General features: G+C 52.0%; 1 protein-coding gene across 2 annotated transcripts, besides 7 other annotated features; it reads right to left on the bottom strand.

Annotated features, from left to right (window-relative positions):
* Positions 1-1,666: 1,666 nt before the first annotated feature.
* Positions 1,667-12,810, bottom strand: ATP1B2 (ATPase Na+/K+ transporting subunit beta 2). 2 transcript variants are annotated; one of them, NM_001678.5, is made up of 7 exons: positions 7,807-8,511; positions 5,935-6,063; positions 5,492-5,596; positions 5,180-5,385; positions 4,753-4,809; positions 3,812-3,910; positions 1,667-3,706 (listed from the first exon to the last, which is right to left on the bottom strand). In NM_001678.5, exons 1-7 carry the CDS (start codon positions 7,916-7,918, stop codon positions 3,542-3,544), a joined length of 873 nt encoding a protein of 290 aa, NP_001669.3. In that variant the 5' UTR covers positions 7,919-8,511; the 3' UTR covers positions 1,667-3,541. The 2 variants fall into 2 exon arrangements, with proteins under 2 accessions (NP_001669.3, NP_001290192.1); NM_001303263.2 differs by lacking the exons at positions 5,935-6,063; positions 7,807-8,511 and adding an exon at positions 12,736-12,810.
* Positions 3,423-4,241: an enhancer, noted in NCBI's record as "H3K4me1 hESC enhancer chr17:7558514-7559332 (GRCh37/hg19 assembly coordinates)". NCBI's record gives its function as "activates a minimal SCP1, AML or CMV promoter by ChIP-STARR-seq in primed H9 embryonic stem cells {active_cell/tissue: H9 hESC(primed)}" and the evidence as "EXISTENCE:reporter gene assay evidence [ECO:0000049][PMID:30033119]".
* Positions 7,941-8,583: an enhancer, noted in NCBI's record as "H3K4me1 hESC enhancer chr17:7554172-7554814 (GRCh37/hg19 assembly coordinates)". NCBI's record gives its function as "activates a minimal SCP1, AML or CMV promoter by ChIP-STARR-seq in naive H9 embryonic stem cells {active_cell/tissue: H9 hESC(naive)}" and the evidence as "EXISTENCE:reporter gene assay evidence [ECO:0000049][PMID:30033119]".
* Positions 7,941-8,601: a biological region, named in NCBI's record as "H3K4me1 hESC enhancer GRCh37_chr17:7554172-7554814".
* Positions 8,452-8,601: a silencer, noted in NCBI's record as "silent region_8135". NCBI's record gives its function as "represses an Ori minimal core promoter by ATAC-STARR-seq in GM12878 lymphoblastoid cells {active_cell/tissue: GM12878}" and the evidence as "EXISTENCE:reporter gene assay evidence [ECO:0000049][PMID:35858748]".
* Positions 8,858-9,358: an enhancer, noted in NCBI's record as "H3K4me1 hESC enhancer chr17:7553397-7553897 (GRCh37/hg19 assembly coordinates)". NCBI's record gives its function as "activates a minimal SCP1, AML or CMV promoter by ChIP-STARR-seq in primed H9 embryonic stem cells {active_cell/tissue: H9 hESC(primed)}" and the evidence as "EXISTENCE:reporter gene assay evidence [ECO:0000049][PMID:30033119]".
* Positions 9,359-9,859: an enhancer, noted in NCBI's record as "H3K4me1 hESC enhancer chr17:7552896-7553396 (GRCh37/hg19 assembly coordinates)". NCBI's record gives its function as "activates a minimal SCP1, AML or CMV promoter by ChIP-STARR-seq in primed H9 embryonic stem cells {active_cell/tissue: H9 hESC(primed)}" and the evidence as "EXISTENCE:reporter gene assay evidence [ECO:0000049][PMID:30033119]".
* Positions 11,348-11,557: a silencer, noted in NCBI's record as "fragment chr17:7551198-7551407 (GRCh37/hg19 assembly coordinates)". NCBI's record gives its function as "represses an EF-1alpha promoter that drives an FKBP-Casp9 reporter gene in an ReSE screen in phorbol 12-myristate 13-acetate-treated (for megakaryocytic differentiation) K562 erythroleukemia cells {active_cell/tissue: K562(+PMA)}" and the evidence as "EXISTENCE:reporter gene assay evidence [ECO:0000049][PMID:32094911]".
* Positions 12,811-21,058: the final 8,248 nt, after the last annotated feature.

Here is a 21,058-nt window from a genome sequence, read left to right as displayed (position 1 = left end):
ACATAAATAAATAATTAAGTTCATAAAGAAATAAAACTTGAAATAAATTAGAGCTCTGCCAGGGGAAGTACTGACATATGATATTTATTGAGTGGGAAAAGTAAGATGCATGAAAGTGTGTATGGTATGACCCAATTTTAGTATAACAATGACCAAAACCCAGTGATCCTTTTCTATATGATGAGGGGTGTGTGTGTGTGCGTGCATGTGTGTATATTATGCATTCATGATAAAATTGTGTATAGGTGGATTCATGTGTAATAAAGCTATTTTTAAGACAAATACGAAGACCAATTCATTGCAAAAAGAAAAAAGGCCCCGATAAGAAAATAAAAATTAGCTATAAGCCCCTCCCCTCCCCCATATACTACAGGAAACATCATATATATTTTTTTCTATCCTTATGTGTCTGTTTACTTTTTTATTTATTTATTTGAGACGGAGTTTCGCTCTTGTTGCCTAGGCTGGAGTGCAGTGGCACAATAGCTCACTGCACCCTCCACCTCCTGGGTTCAAACGATTCTCCTGCCTCAGCCTCCCAAGTAGCTGAGACTACAGGCATCTGCCACCAGGCCCGGCTAATTTTTTGTATTTTTAGTAGAGACAGGGTTTCACCATGTTGGCCAGACTAGTCTCGAACTCCTGACCTCAGGTAATCCTCCCACCTCAGCCTCCCAAAGCACTGGGATTACAGGCAAGAGCCACCACGCCCGGCCTGTGTGTTTACTTTCCACAAAATTAGGATCTTATAGTTCATATTGCTTTTTTTTTTTTTTTTGAGATGGAGTTTTGCTCTTGTTGCCCAGGCTGGAGTGCAATGGCACACTCTCAGCTCACTGCAACCTCCGCCTCCCGGGCTCAAGCGATTTTCCTACCTCAGCCTCCCGAGTAGCTGGGATTACAGGTGGGCACCACCACGCCCGGCTAATTTTGTATTTTTTTTTTTTAGTTGAGACGGGGTTTCACCATGTTGGCCAGGCTGGTCTTGAACTCCCGACTTCAGGTGATCTGCCCGCCTCAGCCTCCCAAGGTGCTGGGATTACAGGCGTGAGCCACCATGCCCGGCTCTTATTGCTTTGACATTCATGTTTCTTCTAGTCAACTTTTCTCATCTGTCTCTGAGCATTTGCTGATGCTCTTTTCTCTCCAAATCACCCCTCCTTTAAGCTCCCGTTCAAATGCTACCTCCTCTGAGAAAGCTTCCCTTTAACGTGCCTGACAGACAGCGGTTGACGGCTCTGAATTTTATCATCACAGGCTCTCTCCCTTTCCTTGAAGCATGTTTAGGTCTACCCTGCATGAGAGTTTCTCGTGTGCTCCTCACCTCTCCTGTTAAACTGGGGAGCTCCTTGGGGGCAGGATCTCTGCCTCTTTCATAACTGTGTCCTCACGGTGCCTAGAATGCACACAGTAGGCACTTCATAAGCATCACTGTACAAAAGGGACGTAGGCTTCCTGTCTCTCTTGTATGGAGTTATCCCAAGATAGTGCGCACTAAATTAGTCAAGGCGAAGGGGGTAGATGCTTGGACACTGGAAGGAAGAGATCAAAGCTGGGGAGCGGCCTCCAAGGCCTGGGGGATCCCCTTGGGACCACCCAGATCCACCCTCCACTCCTTCCCTGGGCTCTTCCAACTGCTCAGAAAGGAACAACCCACACACAGGGCTCTGTGTATGATATATATTTATATATATAATTGCTCTCATTTTATTTTACTTAATCCTCTTTTTACAGTAGATCTGACACAGGCATTAAATAACTGCAGAGAGAGACCATGGTAGGGCGGGTGCAGGAAAACATGGGGGCCCGAAGGGAAGAAACACAGATCCAGCTAGAGAAAAAGGGAAGGGTCCACCTGTGGGTGGAGTGTGGAGGCTGCAGCATTAAAAAAAGAAAAAGGAGGTTAGAGAGGATGAGGAAGTGAAGGGATGCTGGAGGACAAAGGGTTAAAATGCCTCTACAGCTACAGAATATTCAGAGCAGGAGGCAGGAGGCCCCTCATTTGACATTCTGTGGGCATTATGGGTTTTTTTGTTTTTGTTTTTGTTTTTTTTTTAAAGGCAAAGGGGTCTGAAGAGATGGAGCCAAGACATTCAGAGGCTAGATTTGGAATTTTCAGGCTGGCATGCAGAGGAAAAGGAAGGAGTTAGTGATTAGTTGATAACTTGCTAAAAGAAGCCAGAGAAAGGATGGTGGGGGCAGATCTGGGCTCAGGGGAAGGAGGTGGAATAGTCCCAAAGCCAGCCGATGTTTCCAAGGTGGCCACTGGGGACGGAGCCAGAATGGCCGCCCCTCCCCCAGAGCTCCCTGGGAAGTGGAACTTGAAGGATATTCTGGGAAGGCGAATGGGGGAAGGGAGCCATCCATAAAAACAAAGTGGATATTCAGCCTAGGTCAACCCCGCCCCTCTGGGTAGCAGCTATTTGGGTGACAGAACGGCCTAGGAAGAAACTGAAGGCCGGGCGCGGTGGCTCACGCCTGTAATCCCAACACTTTGGGAGGCCGAGGCAGGTGGATCACCTGAGGTCGGGAGTTCGAGACCAGCCTGACCAACAAGGAGAAACCCCCATCTCTACTAAAAAATGCAAAAAAAAAAAAAAAGAAAGAAAGAAATTAGCCGGGCATGGTGGCACATGCCTGTAGTCCCAGCTACTCGGGAACCTGAGGCGGGAGAATCGCTTGAACCTGGGATGCGGAAGTTGCAGTGAGCTGAGATTGCACCATTGCACTCCAGCCTGGGCAACAAGAGCGAAACTCCATCTCAAAAAAACAAAGAAAGAAACTGCTGAAGTCGGGGGCTGCTAGAGGATTTTCAGGAAGGGTCAACACAGGCCTCACTTCCAGTCCCTCATTTCCCAGCTCACAGAGTCACCAGAGGGTGAGAAGCAGAACGTGCCAGCAAAGAGGGAAAAGGCCACAGAACCACCTTGTCCTCAATTACAAAGGGGTGCATTTCAGAGGAGGGAATAGGGATGGAGAGGAGGAGAAGACCTGCCCAGGAGCCAGATAAATTCAAAGTCACCAAGATGGCGACTGTGTAGACAGGGAGAAAGTATGAGAGATCAAGGGACGGTGGCCAGAGCTTAGGAATGGAAGGAGGGAGTGCCACATTCATCTCTGGAAGCAAAGGGGTCAAATGAGACGCGTGTGCACGTTTGTGTGTGTGTGTGGCGGGGGGTGTAGGTGGGTGGGTGGGTCAGTGGGCACTTCCTATAACTCTCAGGGGATATGCAGGCAGGAGAGTGGATAGCTCTCACAGCTAAACCAGAACTAGAAAGGCTCCTAACTCCTCCGTGGCCATCTTAGCCCAGCTCCCTGTCTGACTGATCTGAGGTTGGGAGAAGTTGGTGGGAAAGGCGAGTGACGGAACCGCAATGGACTTCAGGCTGGGTTGAGAAGTCAAGGAAAAGGATGTGAGGCTCAGACAAGTCATAGCTCTGTTATCAAAAATACCTTTGGGGTGGGTGAGGGAGGGATCAGGCAGGGTCAGGGACATTCCAGGAGCATCCACAGGAGAGAGATGGGGTGGGAGGAAGGGGCCTCAGGTTTTGTTGATGCGGAGTTTGAAGGCCACGCGGCCGGCGAACTTGTCTCGCTCATCGTCTGTGGCGATGTTGGCGGCGTTGATGCGACATTCTACATTCACCTCCACGTTGGGGGTCACATTCAGGAACTTCACAGCCACCAGGGGCTGTGTGTAGTTCACCTGGGCCGGAGGAGCAGTGCAGGGTCTAGGCCTGGGGCAACGCGGCCTCCTTCCCTAGCTCACCACCCGCACCCGCCATCAGCCTGGGCCTCCCCTGGGACTTACGTGGAACTTTTTGCCATAGTAGGGGAAGTACATGAGGTCGATGTTGCCGTTGGCGGGGAACATGACGAAGTTGCCGAGATTCTCAGCATCTTCATCTCGCTGTGGGGGTGCAGGAAGATAGGGGGTGAGCCAGTTAGGGATGGCAGGCACCCAGGAGCTCACCAGACTTCCATTTGTTCTTTTGTTCTTCCTTCGCCCCAATTATTCCTGTCTCAAGTCTGCCTCCCTGGAGCTGTGAGTCTGTGTGTGTGTGTCTGCATGTGCGTGTGTAGATGAGGGGATGGTCTGTCCCTGTCATCATTCTAGGAACTCCTGAAGGCTGCTAATGGCACGAAAGCCTCCTACTCCACTCCTACCCCAAGTTCTTACCCCATCCTCAGGAATCAGTTTCTGGAGCAGAGCCAAGAAAGAAGAGATACATGATTAAGGGTTGAATAGGAAGCAAGGAAGGGGATGTGGAGGGAGCAGCCAGTTTCTAGAAAGGACAGACCGGGGGGGAAGCGGGGAACAGGGTCCCAAGGACAACGAACTGGTGGCAGATGGTGCTAACAGATCAGCAGCTACCAGACACCTAGAAGGAACTGACGGGTGGGGGCCATATGGGAGGGAGAGCGAACGATACGGACAATCTGGGAATGAAGGAGAAGGTGGAAGCGTTAGGGAGAGAAGCCAGAGGCCAGGGCGTTGGTGGAGGAGGGCGTGTGTCTGGCCCCTAGGAGAGCAGGCCTCTGCATCCCAGAGAGAAGCAAGAGGAGTGCGGGGCCCTCGGAGTTCAAGCTACAGTGGAGCCCAAAAGCCCACTCTTACCCCCTTGTTTCTATGGTGATGGGGCCTCTAGGAGCAAAGAAGATAGGGAGAGACAGGTGAATTACACAGAAACCATGAAGGACACTCAGGTGAGCCACTCAGGTGAGCAGGCAGACAAGGCCCAACGAACTCACCTTCCCAGCACAGGTAACATTCATGCTCTGGTTTGCTCCTGCATAGAAGTTGATGACCTGGAGTGAGGGTGGAAGGTGAAGAGAGTCAGAGGAAGAAGTTGTCGAAGATGGGCATCCAGACCAAGCTAAGCCGGGGACTGTAGTCCCAACTACTAGGGAGGTTGAGGCGGGAGGATAGCTTAATTCCAGGAGTTCAAGGCCAGCCTGGGCAACATAGCAAGACCCTGTCTAAAAAAAAAACAAAAGGCATCCAGCCTTCTAACTGCAGAGCTTAGCCTCCAAGAGTCCCACCTCTCTTTTTCTCTCAGCTACACAAACATCCAAGTCTTTCTCATGCCCATTAGCCCCAGTGAAAGGATGCAATTGTCTGCAGGTGGTGTCCCCAGATCCTTCCTCCATTCACCCTGGGGACCAAGGTCATAGATACCCGGTTCATCTTGATGAAGACACAGGGCTGCCCAGTGCTGTAACCATAGTGGGTGGAGTCCCCAATGCCGGAGCAGTTGCCCAGCTGGGTCCGGTTGAATTGGCAGGCACGTTTGGGGTAGTTGAGGACTCCATTATCTGGCTGTTCGTAATAGCGTCCAGGGCGGCAGACATCATTCTTTTGGGCTTGGATAGAGTCGTTGTAAGCTAAAGAGGTGGGAGGGAGAGACTCAGGGGCCAGATGTTCCACTTCCAAGGTCCCCAGTCCCCTGCCCGAAGTCTTGAACTGACACATAACCAGGCCCACACTCACGCTCCAAGAACTTGTTGAGCTTCTGAACATGCTGGTCCCAGCTTTCAGTGTCACTGACATTGACAATGACATCAAGGTTCTCAGTCTTGGGGCGAATCATCAAGCCTACAGCCAACAAAGGCAGAAGTTGGGGGTATCTATAAGATGAGGGACTGCACACAGAGGGAAGAAAATGGACACAGGGAACACCAGAGTGGGGACAGCGGTGAATATCTGAGATCGTCTTCATGGGAGGGTGATCTCCTGTGGCTATCTGCCACATGCCCAAATCACACAGCTCCCAACTGCAGTAAATGGGAAGGTGGACAGATTTCAAGAACTTCCAAGCACGTGGGGATTGGGTCATCAAAATCAAACTCCTGGAAGGAACTATGAGTTCCTTCTGGAGGTTTGGGGGCACAAGAGCAGTTAGAGTAGCTGGCAGGGGGAGCCTCCACACTCACCCGGTGTGGCCAGTCGGTCCTGGTACTTGGGGGTATGGTCGGAGACAGTCTGCAGCATCACCCACATGGTGAGGGTGAACATGGCGGTGAGGAACCCATAAAAAACGAGGTAGAAGAGGAGGATAAAGGCTAGGGAGGAGGAAACAGGGTCAGCAGGGCCCAAGGTTCCCACCATAACCTCAACTATCCCCACACACCCCTCTACCCACTCTGAAGTTCTGCACTGGGACTGATCACAGAGCCACAGGGATGTCTTAGAGCCTTCCTCTGGAGGCAAAATGAGACAAACTGGAAACAGGCAGTTGTGTCTGGCTTCTAGCCATGACTCCCAGCCCCCTCCTGGTCCTAGGGCACAGTGAAGCCCGACCTTGTGGAGGTCTGTTATTTTGCCTCCAATTACATTTCCAACTTCTCAACCATGCATAGTCCTGACAAGGCACACATCTGTTACCTCTGCATTCGTACTCATGCTTAAAGCTGTGCTAGCATGGTGCCTTTTAAAGCGGGTACTGGCCACCATTCACAAGCAAACCCTCATACCACCCCGCAGAGACTGGACCCTCAGATTTGAATAGCAACATCTCTCTCCTGGTGCCCTTCAGAAGCCAAACTTTGAACACAGTTCCTGAAATGAAAGACCTAACACTAGCCTAGCTACAAATCTCTCAGAGACGGCTTGTTAGAACCTTCAACAGTCACCCCACCCTCAGTTCACACCCAGCACCCTGGGCAGAGGCAGGGAGGAAAGGCAGAATCTCCCACAGCCTTCCCTTGGTGGGATCTCTCCATGGCTCCCCCGCCTGAAGTAAGGACCCAAGGGCCGGCTGTTCCCACCACCCTGGACTCCCAATCCTTCCATCTCAGAGGACACTTCTTCCATGAAGTCCTCTGGCTCTCCCAAGCATTGCTGGATTCTTCTCATCCCAGGGGCTGGAGTTTGAGTTCCCTGAGGGAATGGATTGCATGGGACCCACTTCGTGTAGGCCCCGAATGGGTGGACTGATGGGGACGGTGCCCAGTGTGGAAAGATTGTAAATCGTGTCACACAGTGTCCTCTGTCCCCTGTGTCTCAACGTCCCAGCTTGACCATCCCTCTTGGAAGAATTCCACCCCTCACCTGCACCTGTGCCGGTCACCAGACCCCCTCCACCCCCCCAACCCCCGACCACTACAGCTCCCTGAGTCCTGCCATGGTCAGCCTGGGGAGGCTTCCAAGTCATCCGACTGTCACAGACACCTGGCTGGCTGATGCACACAAATCACCACAGCGACCACTCCTCCCTCCGTCACCGACATGGGAGCAAAACCTGCAGCCTCGGTAAAACTCATACTATCAGCAGCCCCCCAACCCACAAAGCAGTCCCAGAAGGCTCCCAAGGCCAGGCGGTGGGATACAGACAACTTCCGCCGTGAAGAACCCCCCTAACACACCCCCCAAGACCCGCCCCCTCATGAACGTTCCCAGGGTCCAGGGGGTGGGCACGAGCTAAAAATAGACGGGGCTGCGGAGCTAGTGAGAGCCGGAGGGAGGGAAGGGGCGCTCTTTGGAGGTGGGGGACGCCCGTGTGGAGCGGACAGGCCCCGAGAGGGAGTGTGAGCGCCGGCGCGGACACGCAGGCGGAGCTGGCGACCCCCCGCCCGAGGGGGCTCCGCGGGGGGCGGGAAGGCGGCTGTGACCTACTTTCTCCGCCTCCGCACGGCCAGCCGGGGAGATTAGACTGGCGATTCGGCCCCCTCCCAGCCCAGAGCCCGGCAGGGAGGCTGGACGCCGGGGACCCGGGAGGGGAGCTGGGGCCGCGTCGGCGGGACCCTGCGCCCCCGAGGCGTCGCCCCGCGGCTTTCCCCCGCCCCTTGCGTGCCGGCCCTGCGTACCCCAGCTGGTCCCGGTGCGGCCCATAAACTGGTGCGTCCTCGGGTTCCACACGAACTCCTTCCACTCCTCAACCACCTGCCCGCAGCTCTTCTTCTCTTTCTGGATGACCATCTTGGTGGCGCGGGGCGAGTCCGGGCGCGGGGCGGGGGGTTGCGGAGAAGCGGGGGCGCCGCGCGCTGAAGCCCTCCACACACCCAAAAGCACGGGGAGCGAAGGCGGCGCGGGCAAAGGAGACCCCCCTCAGATATGCAGCTGCTGCAGATTCCGGGGTGCACGACCACGCGCTGCGGGGTGCTGGCAGCGCGGCGGAAGATGCACCGATCCTAGGCCCCCCAACTGCGATGAAAAGGGGTGCTGTCAGAGCAGGGGAGAATAACAAGAGGAAGGGGTATGAATGCAGCTTCACCCCCCACCAAACCGTCTAGAAACAAAACGAAATGGGGTGCAAAAACAGACGGCTACAAAAACCGAGCAGAACGCAGAAAAAAAGCGGGGTACAAAAAGGCAGAGAGAGGTGGGGGAGGGGGCCGCCCCGAAATCCAAGATGCAAAGAAGCTGTGGAACGAAGCTCAAGGCTCGCTCCGCCAAGCGGAGACCACTGCACCGGTGGTGGCTCAGCCGCGGGGGTGGGGCGGGGACGCGCAGCTGGGGGACAGCCAGGGATGGGGGGCCCCCCAGGCGGAGGCTCCGCTCCTCAGCAGTGCGAGGCCCGCGGTCGCCGAGCGCGGTCTTTATACTCTGCGGCTCTGGGGGTGCCCGCCCCCTTCCCACCCCCAGAAGCTCCGCCTCCTCGCCACTGGCCCAGGCGACCTCATACATATGTAAATATGGAGAGGTTGGGCCCGCCCCCCTGACTTCTCTTAGGGACCTAGCTGTCTCTCCATTACCCCCACCCCAGGTACTAGACTGGGACAGGGTGGGAGGAAGAGATAGAGGGCGTGTCCGGGCGGAGTAGAGGGAAAGATAACCCCAGAGAAACACAACGGCAGAGAGAGAAGCCGATATATGCTCAAAGGTGGGGGCCCCAGGCAGGGAGTTAGAAAGAGACTAAGATACAGATGCGGCGGAAGAGTCCGGGAGCAGATGGGGCAGAATGTCAGAGGAATAAAGAGCTAGAGATCAAGAAAGAGAGCGAAGAGACCAGCCGGGAGGCTGGCCGAGCCAGGAGGGAAGCTAGGACAGGCCCCGCAGAGATGGATAAAGGCCACCCCCAGAGGGACGTTCCCCTGTTGGGAGCCGCTACCAGTCCCCCAGACGCCTCCTTCTCCAATCTCACAGCCCCTGTCCACACCACCTGGCTCTGTCCACGTGCAGAGGCTTCCCCATCTTCCCATCACGTCTCCCTGAAGCCCTCTCAACACCACATTCCCAGTCCCCAGCACTGCCCTGAGATCCCAGCCCTGCAGCCAGGTCTACTTCGGTTCTCTGCCTCCTGGCACCCCCACCCCCACGTCGGAACTCACCTCCTTATGTGTCTACTTGGGTCAACAAACATTTATTGAGCACCTCTATAGACTGTGTGCTGTAGCCCTGGGGAGGCCAGAGAGGTTACACTGAAGCCACATCTCTCACGGGGCTCACAGTCTAGGGCGGGAGTACACTTGCTCTACATACCACATGTTAAGAATCATTATCTCAAGCCGGGCACGGTGGCTTATGCCTGTAATCCCAGCATTTTGGGAGGCCGAGGCGGGCAGATCACGAAGTCAGGAGTTCGAGACTAGCCTTGCCCACATGGTGAAACCCCGTCTCTACTTAAAAATGCAAAATTAGGCCAGGCGCGGTGGCTCACGCCAGTAATCCCAGCACTTTGGGAGGCCGAGGTGGGTGGATCACGAGGTCAGGAGATCGAGACCATCCTGGATAACACAGTGAAACCCCGTCCCTACTAAAAATACAAAAAAAAAAAATTAGCTGGGCGTCGTGGCGGGAGCTTGTAGTCCCAGCTACTTGGGAGGCTGAGGCAGGAGAATGGCATGAACCCGGGAGGCGGAGCTTGCAGTGAGCCGAGATCGCTCCACTGCACTCCAGCCTGGGCAACAGAGCTTCCGTCTCAATAAAAAAAAAAAAAAAAATTAGCTGGGCATGGTGGTGGGTGCCTGTAGTCCCAGCTACTCAGGAGGCTGAAGCAGGAGAATTGCTTGAACCCGGGAGGCGGAGCTTGCAGTGAGCTGAGATCACGCCATTGCACTCCAGCTTGGGCAATAGAGTGAGACTTCGTCTCAAAAAAAGAGAGAAAAAAAAAATCATTATCTCGGCCAGGCCCAGTGGCTCATGCCTGTAATCCCAGCTCTATAGGAGGCCGAGGCCAATGGATCACCTGAGCAAGGGAGTTCGAGACCAGAGGTCAGGAGTTCAAGACCAGCCTGGCCAACATGGTGAAACTGCGTCTCTACTAAAACTAAAAAAATTAGCCGGGTGCGGTGGTGGGAGCCTGTAATCCCAGCTACTCAGGAGGCTGAGGCAAGAGAATTGCTTGAACCTGGAAGGTGGAGGTTGCAGTGAGCCGAGATTGTGTCACTGCACTCCAGCCTGGACAAGAGCAAAACTCCATCTCAAAAAAATGGTATGCATTGAATGAATGAATGAATGAATGGGAGTTGGGGCTGGCCTCTGAAGGGTAGGTAGTCTTCCAGGACAAAGGAATGAAAGGCACAGAGGTGTGAAGTCAGGAGTAAGCACAGTCTACCCCAGGAGTGGCTGGCTTGGCTCCAGGAGAGAACTAGTCGGAGACTAGTGGGAAAGGAGGTTGGGGACACAGCATGGGTGTGGATTGCGGAGTACCCTGCAGGTTAGACTGAAGAATCAGGACTCTATCCTACAGGCTAATAAGAAGCCACTGAAGAACTTTCAGCTGAGGAGTGGCCTAATTAAAGCTGTATTTTGAGAAAATTAATCCCGAATCTGCTGCAGAATAGACTGAAGCATGGCCAGCTGCATAATTGTCAGGATCCAGTGCAAAATGGAAATGCAGGGACCCTTGTTCAAAACCTAGGGGAAAAAATGCCCTTAGAGGCACTAAAATATAAACTTTTTTTTTTTTTTTTTTTTTTTTTTTTTTTGGAGACAGAGTCTCACTGTGTCACCCAGGCTGGAGTGCAGTGGCATGATATCTGCTCACTGCAGCCTCTGCCTCCAGGGTTCAAGCGGTTCCTCCCTCAGTCTCCCGGGTAGCTGGGACTACCACCACGCCCGGCTAATTTCTGTATTTTTTTGTAGAGATGGGATTTCACCATGTTGGCCAGGCTAGTTTTGAGTTCCTGACCTCAAATGATCCACCTACCTTGGCCTCGCAAAGTGCTGGGATTACAGGTGTGAACAACCGCACCCAGCCTAAACTATTTTCCTTTCATCCATAGTTCTTTCAGCTTCTCATGGTTTTTTGTTTTAGAGACAGGGTCTTGCTATGTCACCCAGACTGGAGTGCAGTGACGCGATCTTGGCTCACTGCAACCTCCACTTCCCAGGTTCAAGCAATTCTTCTGTCTCAGCCTCTTGAGTAGCTGGGATTACAGGCACAGGCCACCATGCCCGGCTAATTTTTGTATTTTTACTAGAGACAGGGTTTTGCCGTGTTGGCCAGGCTGGTGTGGAACTCCTGGACTCCTGGACTCAAGGGATCCACCCACATCAGCCTCCCAAAGTGCTGAAATCACAAGTGTGAGCCACCGTACCCAGCATGTCCATGAACGACCTTCCAGTCTCAGCCTCCAGGTAGTTGGGGCTGCAGGCACACATCACCACACCTGGCTTTCTCATGGTGTTTTTTTCTTTGCTATTTAATGTTTACATGTTTTTTTTTTCTTTTTTTGAGACGGAGTCTCACTCTGTCGCCCAGGCTGGAGTGCAATGGCGCGATCTTGGCTCGCTGCAACTTCCACCTCCCGGGTTCAAGCGATTCTCCTGCCTCAGCCTCCTGAGTAGCTGGGATTACAGGCGTGCACAACCACGCCTGGCTAATTTTTGTATTTTTAGTAGAGATGGGATTTCACCATGTTGGTCAGTCTGGTCTGGAACTCCTGACCTCGTGATCCGCCCACCTCGGCCTCCCAAAATGCTGGGATTACAGGCGTGAGCCACCGCACCCGGTCTCTTTCTCTTTCTTTTTTAGAGATGGGGGGTCTCTTAAAAAACAAAGATGGAGGTCTCTGTGTTGACGAGGCTGGTCTCAAACTCCTGGCCTCAAGCAATCCTGCCATCTTGGCCTCCCAAAGTGCTAGGATTGCAGGTGTGAGCCCCGCCTAACATTTTTCTATCTTCAGCTTCCTGATAAGGAAGGAAGGACTGAAAGGAAAAGGAACTATGGGTTGCCTCAGCCTTCCCTTTCCTTCTATGTCATTGTTGCCAGCGTAAGTGGCCAAAACAGGGACATGACTAAGAAAAGATCTGGTAAGGTATGGTGATCATCCATGCCTCCTACAATGCCATTGCTTCCTTTCCACGTTCATAGCCAAGTTCTGCTTCCAGTGGAGAGTGTGGTCTCTCAGCTGTCAGCACTCCCACTTACTCTTTTTTTTTTTTTTTTTTTTTGAGATAGTCTCTTATTCTGTCACCTAGGCTGGAGTGCAGTGGCGTGATCATGGTGATCCAATCCTCCCAGCTCAGCCTCCTAAGTAGCTGGGAGTAGCCCAGTGGCTACTAGTCTCACCGGGCTAAATGCCTGTCTACTAGTCCACCTGGCTAAAATGCCTGGCTAATTTTTAAAGAAGTTTTTCATAGAGATGGGGTCTCGCCATATTGCCAAGGCTTGTGTTGAACTCCTGGGCTCAAGGGATCCTCCCGCCTGGGTCACTCAAAGTGCTGGAATTACAGGCAGGAGCCATTGTTGTTGAGGTTCCTTGCAGAGGGAGCTTTTCCATGTTCACGTCCAATTCAGCAGCTGGCCGGGCTCAGCCTCACATATTCAGTTGCAGACATAATGTGCTTACCTTATACTCATCTGGAGTCTGGCTGAACTCCCACACGTTGTAGGTTCCCCAGAATTCTGTGTCCATGTTGCATCTGGAACGCTGTGTGAATGGGACGTATCTCCTCTGCTCACACGCATGCGCCAGTGCTCCACTGGATGTTACTTACAAAGCACAAATTCAAAGATAGAACTATGAAGAATTTCAAGACAGCGATGGCATTCAGCTCCATGAATGTTTGGGGGGAAAAAAAAGCAACAGCAGAGTTTTAAACCAAACAACTATGAGCATGGGCCTTGCGCCACTGTGCAGGTCGCACGTCAGGAGGCTGGCCTTGGACTGGAGGGAGTGGGTTTGAGGATGTGGACGGCAGTTTGGATGTGAGGTGTTGAGAAACTGGGCTAAGGATTTAAGGTGACAGTTGAAAGGAGAAGAAAAACCTCTCCAAGGAAAACCGGCAAGATTTGAAGAAAGATTAAAAGAGGTGGAGATAATGATTCTTTTTTTTTTTCTTGAGACAGAATCTCGCTCTGTTGCCCAGGCTGGAGCACAATGGCATGATCTTGGCTTACTGCAACCTCCGCCTCCTGGGTTCAAGCGATTCTCCTGCCTCAGCCTCCTGAGTAGCTGGGATTACAGGCTCCCACCACTGCACCCGGCTAATTTTTGTAGTTTTAGTAGAGACGCAATTTCACCATATTGGCCAGGCTGATTTTAACTCTTGACCTCAGGTGACCCACCCACCTTGGCCTCCCAAAGTGCTGGGATTGTAGACATGAGCCACCATGCCTGGCCCACTCAATGCATATCTAATGAGCATTTGCTTAGAGTCAGGTGCTATTACTATTCTGGTCCCTGTGTTCCTGGGGCTGCCACTCCAGTAGACAATTAACAAAAGCAAACAAATACAATGTTTATATTATTATTATTATTATTATTATTATTATTATTATTATTATTTTGAGATAGAGTCTTGTTCTATCGCCCAGGCTAGAGGGCAGTGGTACAATCTTGGCTCACTGCAACCTCATCTCCCGGGTTCAAGCAATTTTCCTGCCTCAGCCCCCCGAGTAACCGGGATTACAGGCATGCACCACCATGCCTAGCTAATTTTTGTGTTTTAGTAGAGACCAGTTTCACCATGTTGGCCAGGCTGGTCTCCAACTCATGACCTCAAGTGATCTGCCTGCCTCGGCCTCCCAAAGTGCTGGGATTACAGGTATGAGCCACCGCACCCAGCCTAATAATGTTAATATTATGCAGGAAAAAGAACAGGCTAAGGTACCAGAGAGTGCCTGGATGGTCAGGAATGGCCTTACTGAGAAAGCAACTTTTTTGTTTTGTTTTGTTTTTTATACGGAGTCTCTTGTCGTCCAGGCTGGACTGCAATGGCATGATCTCGGCTCACTCCAACCTTCGCCTCCTGGGTTCAAGTGCTTCTCCTGCCTCAGCCTCCCAAGTGGCTGGGATCACAGGCATGCGCCACCATGCCCAGCTAATTTTTGTATTTTAGTAGAGACGGTTTTTCACCATATTGGTCAGGCTGGTCTCGAACTCCTGACCTCAGGTGATCCACCTGCCTCAGCCTTCCATAGTGCTGGGATTACAGGCATGAGCCACCGCATCCAGCCACAACTTTTTTTTTTTTTGAGACAATCTCTGTCTGCTGCCCAGGCTGGAGTACGGTGGTGCAACTGTGGCTTACTGCAGCCTTGAACTCTTGTGACGGAAATGACTGTTCATGTAAGACTCACACACCCAAAAGGAGGTCTGAGGAGAGGTAAGGGAAGAGATTTCCAGGAAGAAGGAAGTGAAAGTGCAAAGGCTGGGCTTTAATGAGCAAAGACAAGATGAATACAGCAAGAGATTGAAGACCTAGGCAGGGGCCAAACCATAAAGGGTCCTTGTAGACCCTAGAGAATGGCTGGATATTTTTGACCTCCTATCTCATCTAGTGGATGTGGTTTGGATTTTAATCCAACCACCAAAAAAACAATTCTGTGGTTTCAGGAGGGAGAGTGACATAATCACATTTAATGAAAATTGGCCGGGCCCGGGGGCTCATGCCTATAATACCAGCACTTTGGGAGGGCCAGGCGGGCAGATCATTTGAGGTCAGGAGTTCAAGACTAGACTGGCCAACATGGCGAAACCCCATCTCTATTAAAAATACAAAAATTATCACGCCTGTAATCCCAGCACTTTGGGAGGCCTAGGCGGGCGGATCACTTGAGGTTAGGAGTTCCAGACCAGCCTGGCCAACATGTGAAACCCTGTCTCTACTAAAAATACAAAACTAGCTGTGCAGCCGGGTGCAGTTGCTCACGTCTGTGATCCCAGCACTTTGGGAGGCCGAGGCGGGAGTTCAAGACCAGCCTGACCAACACAGTGAAACCCCATCTCTACTAAAAATACAAAACATTAGCCAGGCATGGTGGTGGGCACTTGTAATCCCAGCTACTCGGGAGGCTAAGATAGGAGAATCACTTGAACTCAGGAGGCAGAGGTTGCAGTGAGCCGAGATTGCGCCCTTTACACTCCAGCCTTGGCAACACTGCGAGACTGTCTCAAAAAGAAAAAAAAAAGACCAGGCGCGGTGGCTTATGCCTATAATCCCAGCACTATGGGAAGCCGAGGAGGGTGGATCACCTGCGGTCGGGAGTTCGAGACCAGCCTGACCAACATGGAGAAACCCCGTCTCTACTAAAAGTACAAAACTAGCCGGGCATGGTGGCACATGCCTGTAATCCCAGCTACTAGGGAGGCTGAGACAGGAGAATCACTTGAACCCGGGAGGCAGAGGTTGCAGTGAGCTGAGATTGTGCCATTGCACTCCAGCCTGGGCAACAAGAGTGAAACTCCGTCTGAAAAAAAAAAAAAAGGGCTGGGCGCGGTGGCTCACGCCTGTAATCCCAGCACTTTGGGAGGCCGAGGCAGGCGGATCACGAGGTCAGGAGATCGAGAACACAGCGAAACCCCGTCACTACTAAAAATACAAAAAATTAGCTGGGCGCGGTGGTGGGTGCCTGTAGTCCCAGCTACTCCGGAGGCTGAGGCAGGAAACCCGGGAGGCAGAGCTTGCAGTGAGCCGAGATCGCACCACTGCACTCCAGCCTGGGCAACAGAATAAGACTTCCTCTCAAAAAAAAAAAAAAAAAATTGGGCCGGGCGCGGTGGTTCACTCCTGTAATCCCAGCACTTTGGGAAACCGAGGCGGGTGGATCACCTGAAATCAGAACGTCAAGACCAGCCTGCCGGGCGCGGTGGCTCACACCTGTAATCCCAGCACTTTGGGAGGCTGAGGCAGGTGGATCACTTGAGGTCGGGAGTTCAAGACCAGCCTGACCAACGTGGAGACACCCCGTCTGTACTAAAAATACAAAATCAGCTGGGGTGGTGGCGCATGCCTGTAATCCCAGCTACTCGGGAGGCTGAGGCAGGACAATCGCTTGAACCCGGGAGGCAGAGGTTGCGGTGAGCCGAGATAGCGCCATTACACTCCAGCATGGGCAAAAAGAGCGAAATTCCGTCTCAAAAAATAAAAATAAATAAATAAAAAGAAGTTCAAGACCAGCTTGGTCAACGTGGTGAAACCCTGTCTCTACTAAATATACAAAAAAGATTAGCCGGGTGCCTGTAATCCCAGCTACTCAAGAGGCCAAGGCAGGAGAATCACCTGAACCCTGGAGGTGGAGGTTGCAGTGAGTCGAGATCGCACCATTGCACTCCAGCGTGGGTGACAGAGCGAGACTCCGTCTCAAAAAAAAGAAAACTCTTGTGTGTGTTTTATCTCTTCAACTAGACTCTAAGCGCTCTAAGCTCTTTGAGAACAGGCCTTTATCTTAGACTATTTATACTTTCTTCAAACTCAAGAAACCCATAGAGCTACCAAAGATAGTGCCTGGTTAAATTGGCATGAACATGGAAAGGCTCCTTCTGCAAGGGACCTCAGAGGCAACTTGCTCTTTCCTTCCTCAGGCAAGCAGCACGGAAGTGATACAGCCTCTGTTTGTAAAGATGAAACCTGGTCCTATCCTCAAAACGTAAAGCTTAGCAAACACAGCCAGGGGTGGCCTCCGGATTCCCGGCTCAGTCTCTACCCTTGTACCCCATGTTCACTTGGAAAGAAAGAAATGTCTTCTCTGCACTGTAGGGGGTTTATGGAGTAAGGATGAGATACCTGTTGCTCCCTTTCCTTGCTGTCTTCTCCTGCAAGTTTGGAGGAGAGAACGGAGGAGGGGGGAGGAGCCCCAGCATTAAGCGCAACATTGGTGTTCTGAGGGAAACACGCTGAGAGAGGGGAGATCTGAAAAATTTCCAGGAGAAGAGCTGTTACAAACCTCCAGCCTTTTCCTGGAGCCCACCTTTCCCACCAGCATCTCCAGAAAGAAACCAGGGCATGAAAGCCTTCACACCCCCTCTTTCATATCTAGACCTTGTCCTGGTGTGTCCGGAATTGGTGAGTTTTTGGTCTCACTAACTTCAAGAATGAAGCCACAGACCCTCGCAGTTGAGTGTCACAGTTCTTAAAAGGCGGCGTGTCCAGAGTTTGTTCCTTCTGATGTTCGGATGTGTTCGGAGTTATTTCCTTCTGGTGGGTTCGTGGTCTCGCTGGCTCAGGAGTGAAGCTGCAGACCTTCCCCGTGAATGTCACAGCTCTTAAGGCGGCTTGTCTGGAGTTCATCGTTCCTGCCAGTGGGTTCATGGTCTCGCTGGCTTCAGGAGTGAAGCTGCAGACCTTCAGAGTGAGTGTTACAGCTCATAAAAGAAGTGTGGACCCAAAGAGTGAGCAGCAGCAAGATTTATTGCAAAGAGCGAAAGAACTAAGCTTCCACAGTATGAAACGGGACCCAGTGAGTTGCCACTGCTGGCTCGGGCAGCCTGCGTTTATTCTCTTATCTGGTCCCACCCACATCCTGCTGACTGGTCCATTTTACAGAGAGCCGATTGGTCCATTTTACAGAGAGCTGATTGGTCCATTTTGACAGGGTGCTGATTGGTGCGTTTACAATCCCTGAGCTAGACACAAAAGTTCTCCAAGTCCCCAGTAGATTAGCTAGATACAGAGTGTCAACACAAAGGTTCTCCAAGTCCCCACCAGAGTAGTTAGATACAGTGTCGATTGGTGCATTCACAAACCCTGAGCTAGACACCAGGTGCTGATTGGTGTGTTTACAAACCTTGAGCTAGACACAGAATGCCGATTGGTGTATTTACAATCCCTTAGCTAGACATAAATGTTCTCCAAGTCCCCACCAGAGTAGCTAGATACAGAGTGTTGATTGGTGCATTCATAAACCCTGAGCTAGACACTGGGTGCTGATTGGTGTGTTTACAAACCTTGAGCTAGACACACAGTGCCGATTGGTGTATTTACAATCCCTTAGCTAGACATAAAGGTTCTCCAAGTCCCCACCAGACTCAGAAGCCCAACTGGCTTCACCCAGTGGATCCAGCACCAGGCCGCAGGTGGAGCTGCCTGCCAGTCCAGTGCCATGCACCTGCACTCCTCAGCTCTTGGGTGGTCGATGGGACTGGGCGCCATGGAGCAGGGGGTGGCGCTCCTCAGGGAGACTCGGGCTGCACAGGAGCCCACGGAGTGAAGGGGAGGCTCAGGCATGGTGGGCTGCAGGTCCCGAGCACTGCCCTGCGGCAAGGCAGCTAAGGCCCGGCGAGAATTGAGCATAGCAGCTGCTGGCCCTGGTGCTAATCCCCTCACTGCCCGGGGCCGGCAGGGCCGGCCGGCGCTCCAAGTGCCACGTCCACCCAAAATCGCGCTGGCCGGCAAGCACCGCGTGCAGCCCCGGTTCCCACCCGCGTCTCTCCCTCCACACCTTCCCGCAAGCTGAAGGAGCTGGCTCCGACCTTGGCCAGCCCAGAAAGGGGCTCCCACAGTGCAGCGGTGGGCTGAAGGGCTCCTCAAGCGCGGCCAGAGTGGGCGCCAAGACCGAGAAGGTGCTGAGAGCGAGCGAGGGCTGTGAGGGCTGCCAGCACGCTGTCACCTCTCACTGAGGGCTGTACCCGTCTATCTCCTTCCCGTCAGTCCGTGCAATTCCAGGGACTTAGCCGTCTGGGTTCCCAACAAAATGGGTGTTTGCAAAGACAAGAACAAGGAAAGAGAAGACTTCTGAAACACAGATATGTGGGGAGAGGGGAATGGAACAGTGCTGTTTAATGGGGACAGAGTCTCAGTTTTACAAAGATGAAAAGAGTTCTGGAAATGGATGGTGGTGATGGTTGCACAACATCGTGAGTGGAGTTAATGCCACTGAAATGTACACTTAAAAATGGTTAAGATGACAGGAGGCTGAGACGGGAGAATTGCTTGAACCTGGGAGACAGAGGTTGCAGTGAGCCAAGGTCGTGCCACTGCGGTCCAGCCTGGGCGACAGAGCAAGACTCCATCTCAAAAAAAAAAAAAAAAAGGTTAAGATGGTCCAGGCGCGGTAGCTCACACCTGTAATCCCGGCACTTTGAGAGACCAAGGTGGGAGAATCATTCAAGCCCAGGAGTTCCAGACCAGTGGGACCCCAGTCTATACAAAAAATTTAAAAATTAGGCCGGGTGCAGCAGCTCACACCTGTAATCCCAGCACTTTGGGAGGCTGAGGTGGGTGGATCACTTGAGGTCTGGAGTTCGAGACCAGCCTGGCCAACATGGTGAAACCCCATTTCTACTAAAAATACAAAAATTAGCTGGGCACGGTGGCTCACGCCTGTAATCACAGCACTTTGGGAGGCCGAGGTGGGTGGATCACCTGAGGTCAGGAGTTTGAGACCAGCCTGGCCAACATGGTGAAACCCCGTCTCCACTAAAAATACAAAAATTATCAGGCCTGTAATCCCAGCTACTCGGGAGGCTGAGACAGGAGAATTGCTTGAACCCAGGAGGCAGAGGTTGCGGTGAGCATTGATCGCACCACTGCACTCTAGCCCGGGCGACAGCAAGACTCAGTCTCAAAAAAAAAAAAAAAAAAAATTAGCCAGGCTTAGTGGTGCATGCCTGTAGTCCCAGCTACTGGGGGGGCTGAGGTGAGAAGATTACTTGAACCCAGGAACTGGAGGCTACAGTGAGCCATGGTTGCACCAATGTACTCCAGCCTGGGCAACAGAATGAGATCCTATCTCAAAAACAAAAAAAAGGTTCAGATGGTAAATTTTATGTTGTGTGTATTTTACCACAATCGAAAGAAGGAAGGAAGGGAAGGAAAGAAAGAAAAAGAAAATAAGAGAAGAGGCCAGGAATGGTGGCTCATGCCTGTAATCCCAGCACTTTGGGAGGCTGAGTGGGGAGGATTCCAAGAGTGGGGCCAAGAGTTTGAGATCAGCCTGAGTAACATAGCAAGACCGCATCTCTACAAAAAATTTAAAAATAAGCTGGGTGCAATGGCCTGCTCCTGTGGTCCCAGCCATGATTGCACCACTGTACTACAGTTGGTAACACAGCAAGGCTGTCTCTAAAAAAGAAAAAAATAGAAGAAAAGGAAGAAAGAAAGCCAGATGTGGTGGCTCACGCTTGTAATCCCAGCACTTTGGGAGGCCAAGGTGTGTGGATCACTTGAGGCCAGAAGTTTGAGACCAGCCTGGCCAAATGGTAAAACCCTGTCTCTACTAAAAATACAAAAAATTAGTCAGGTGTGGTGGTGCATGTCTGTAATCCCAGCTACTCAGGAAGCTGAGGCAGGAGAATCGCTTGAACCCAGGAGCTGGAGGTTGCAGTGAACTGAAATCGCGCCACTACACTTCAGCCTGGGCAACAGAACCAGATGCTGTCTCAAAAAAAAAAAAAAAAAGGCCTGACATGGTGGCTCACGCCTGTAATCCCAGCACTTTGGGAGACCGAGGTGGGCAGATCACAAGGTCAGAAGATTGAGACCATCCTGGCTAACACAGTGAAACCCCGTCTCTACTAAAAATACAAAAAATTAGCTGGGCGTGGTGGTGGGCATCTGTAATCCCAGCTACTTGGGAGGCTGAGCCAGGAGAATCTCTTAAACCCGGGAGACAGAGGTTGCAGTGAGCCCAGATCACGCCACTGCATTCCAGCCTGGGCGACACAGTGAGACTCTCTCTCAAAAAAAAAAAAAAGAAGAAGAAGAAAAAGAAGAATAGATAAGAAAATAAAGTTTATTCACTGACGAGATCAAGCTCCAACTCCTCAGCAGGACACACAAGGCCACATAGCCCAAGGAGCCCCCACCTGCCCTCACTCCATCTCAGCCTCTCCATGGTTCATCCATGTCACACGCCCTCCCAGATCTTTGATACCCAGCAGGCTCAGACTAGTATGTCAGGAACTATGTGAGAACTAATATGTCAGGAACTGTGTGAGATTAATAAGAACA

This window comes from Homo sapiens, chromosome 17, assembly GCF_000001405.40.
Source record: "Homo sapiens chromosome 17, GRCh38.p14 Primary Assembly".
In the NCBI taxonomy this organism is placed as follows: domain Eukaryota; kingdom Metazoa; phylum Chordata; class Mammalia; order Primates; family Hominidae; genus Homo; species Homo sapiens.
Note: the sequence above shows the minus strand (reverse complement) of the source record. Positions and strands in the feature narration are given on the sequence as shown.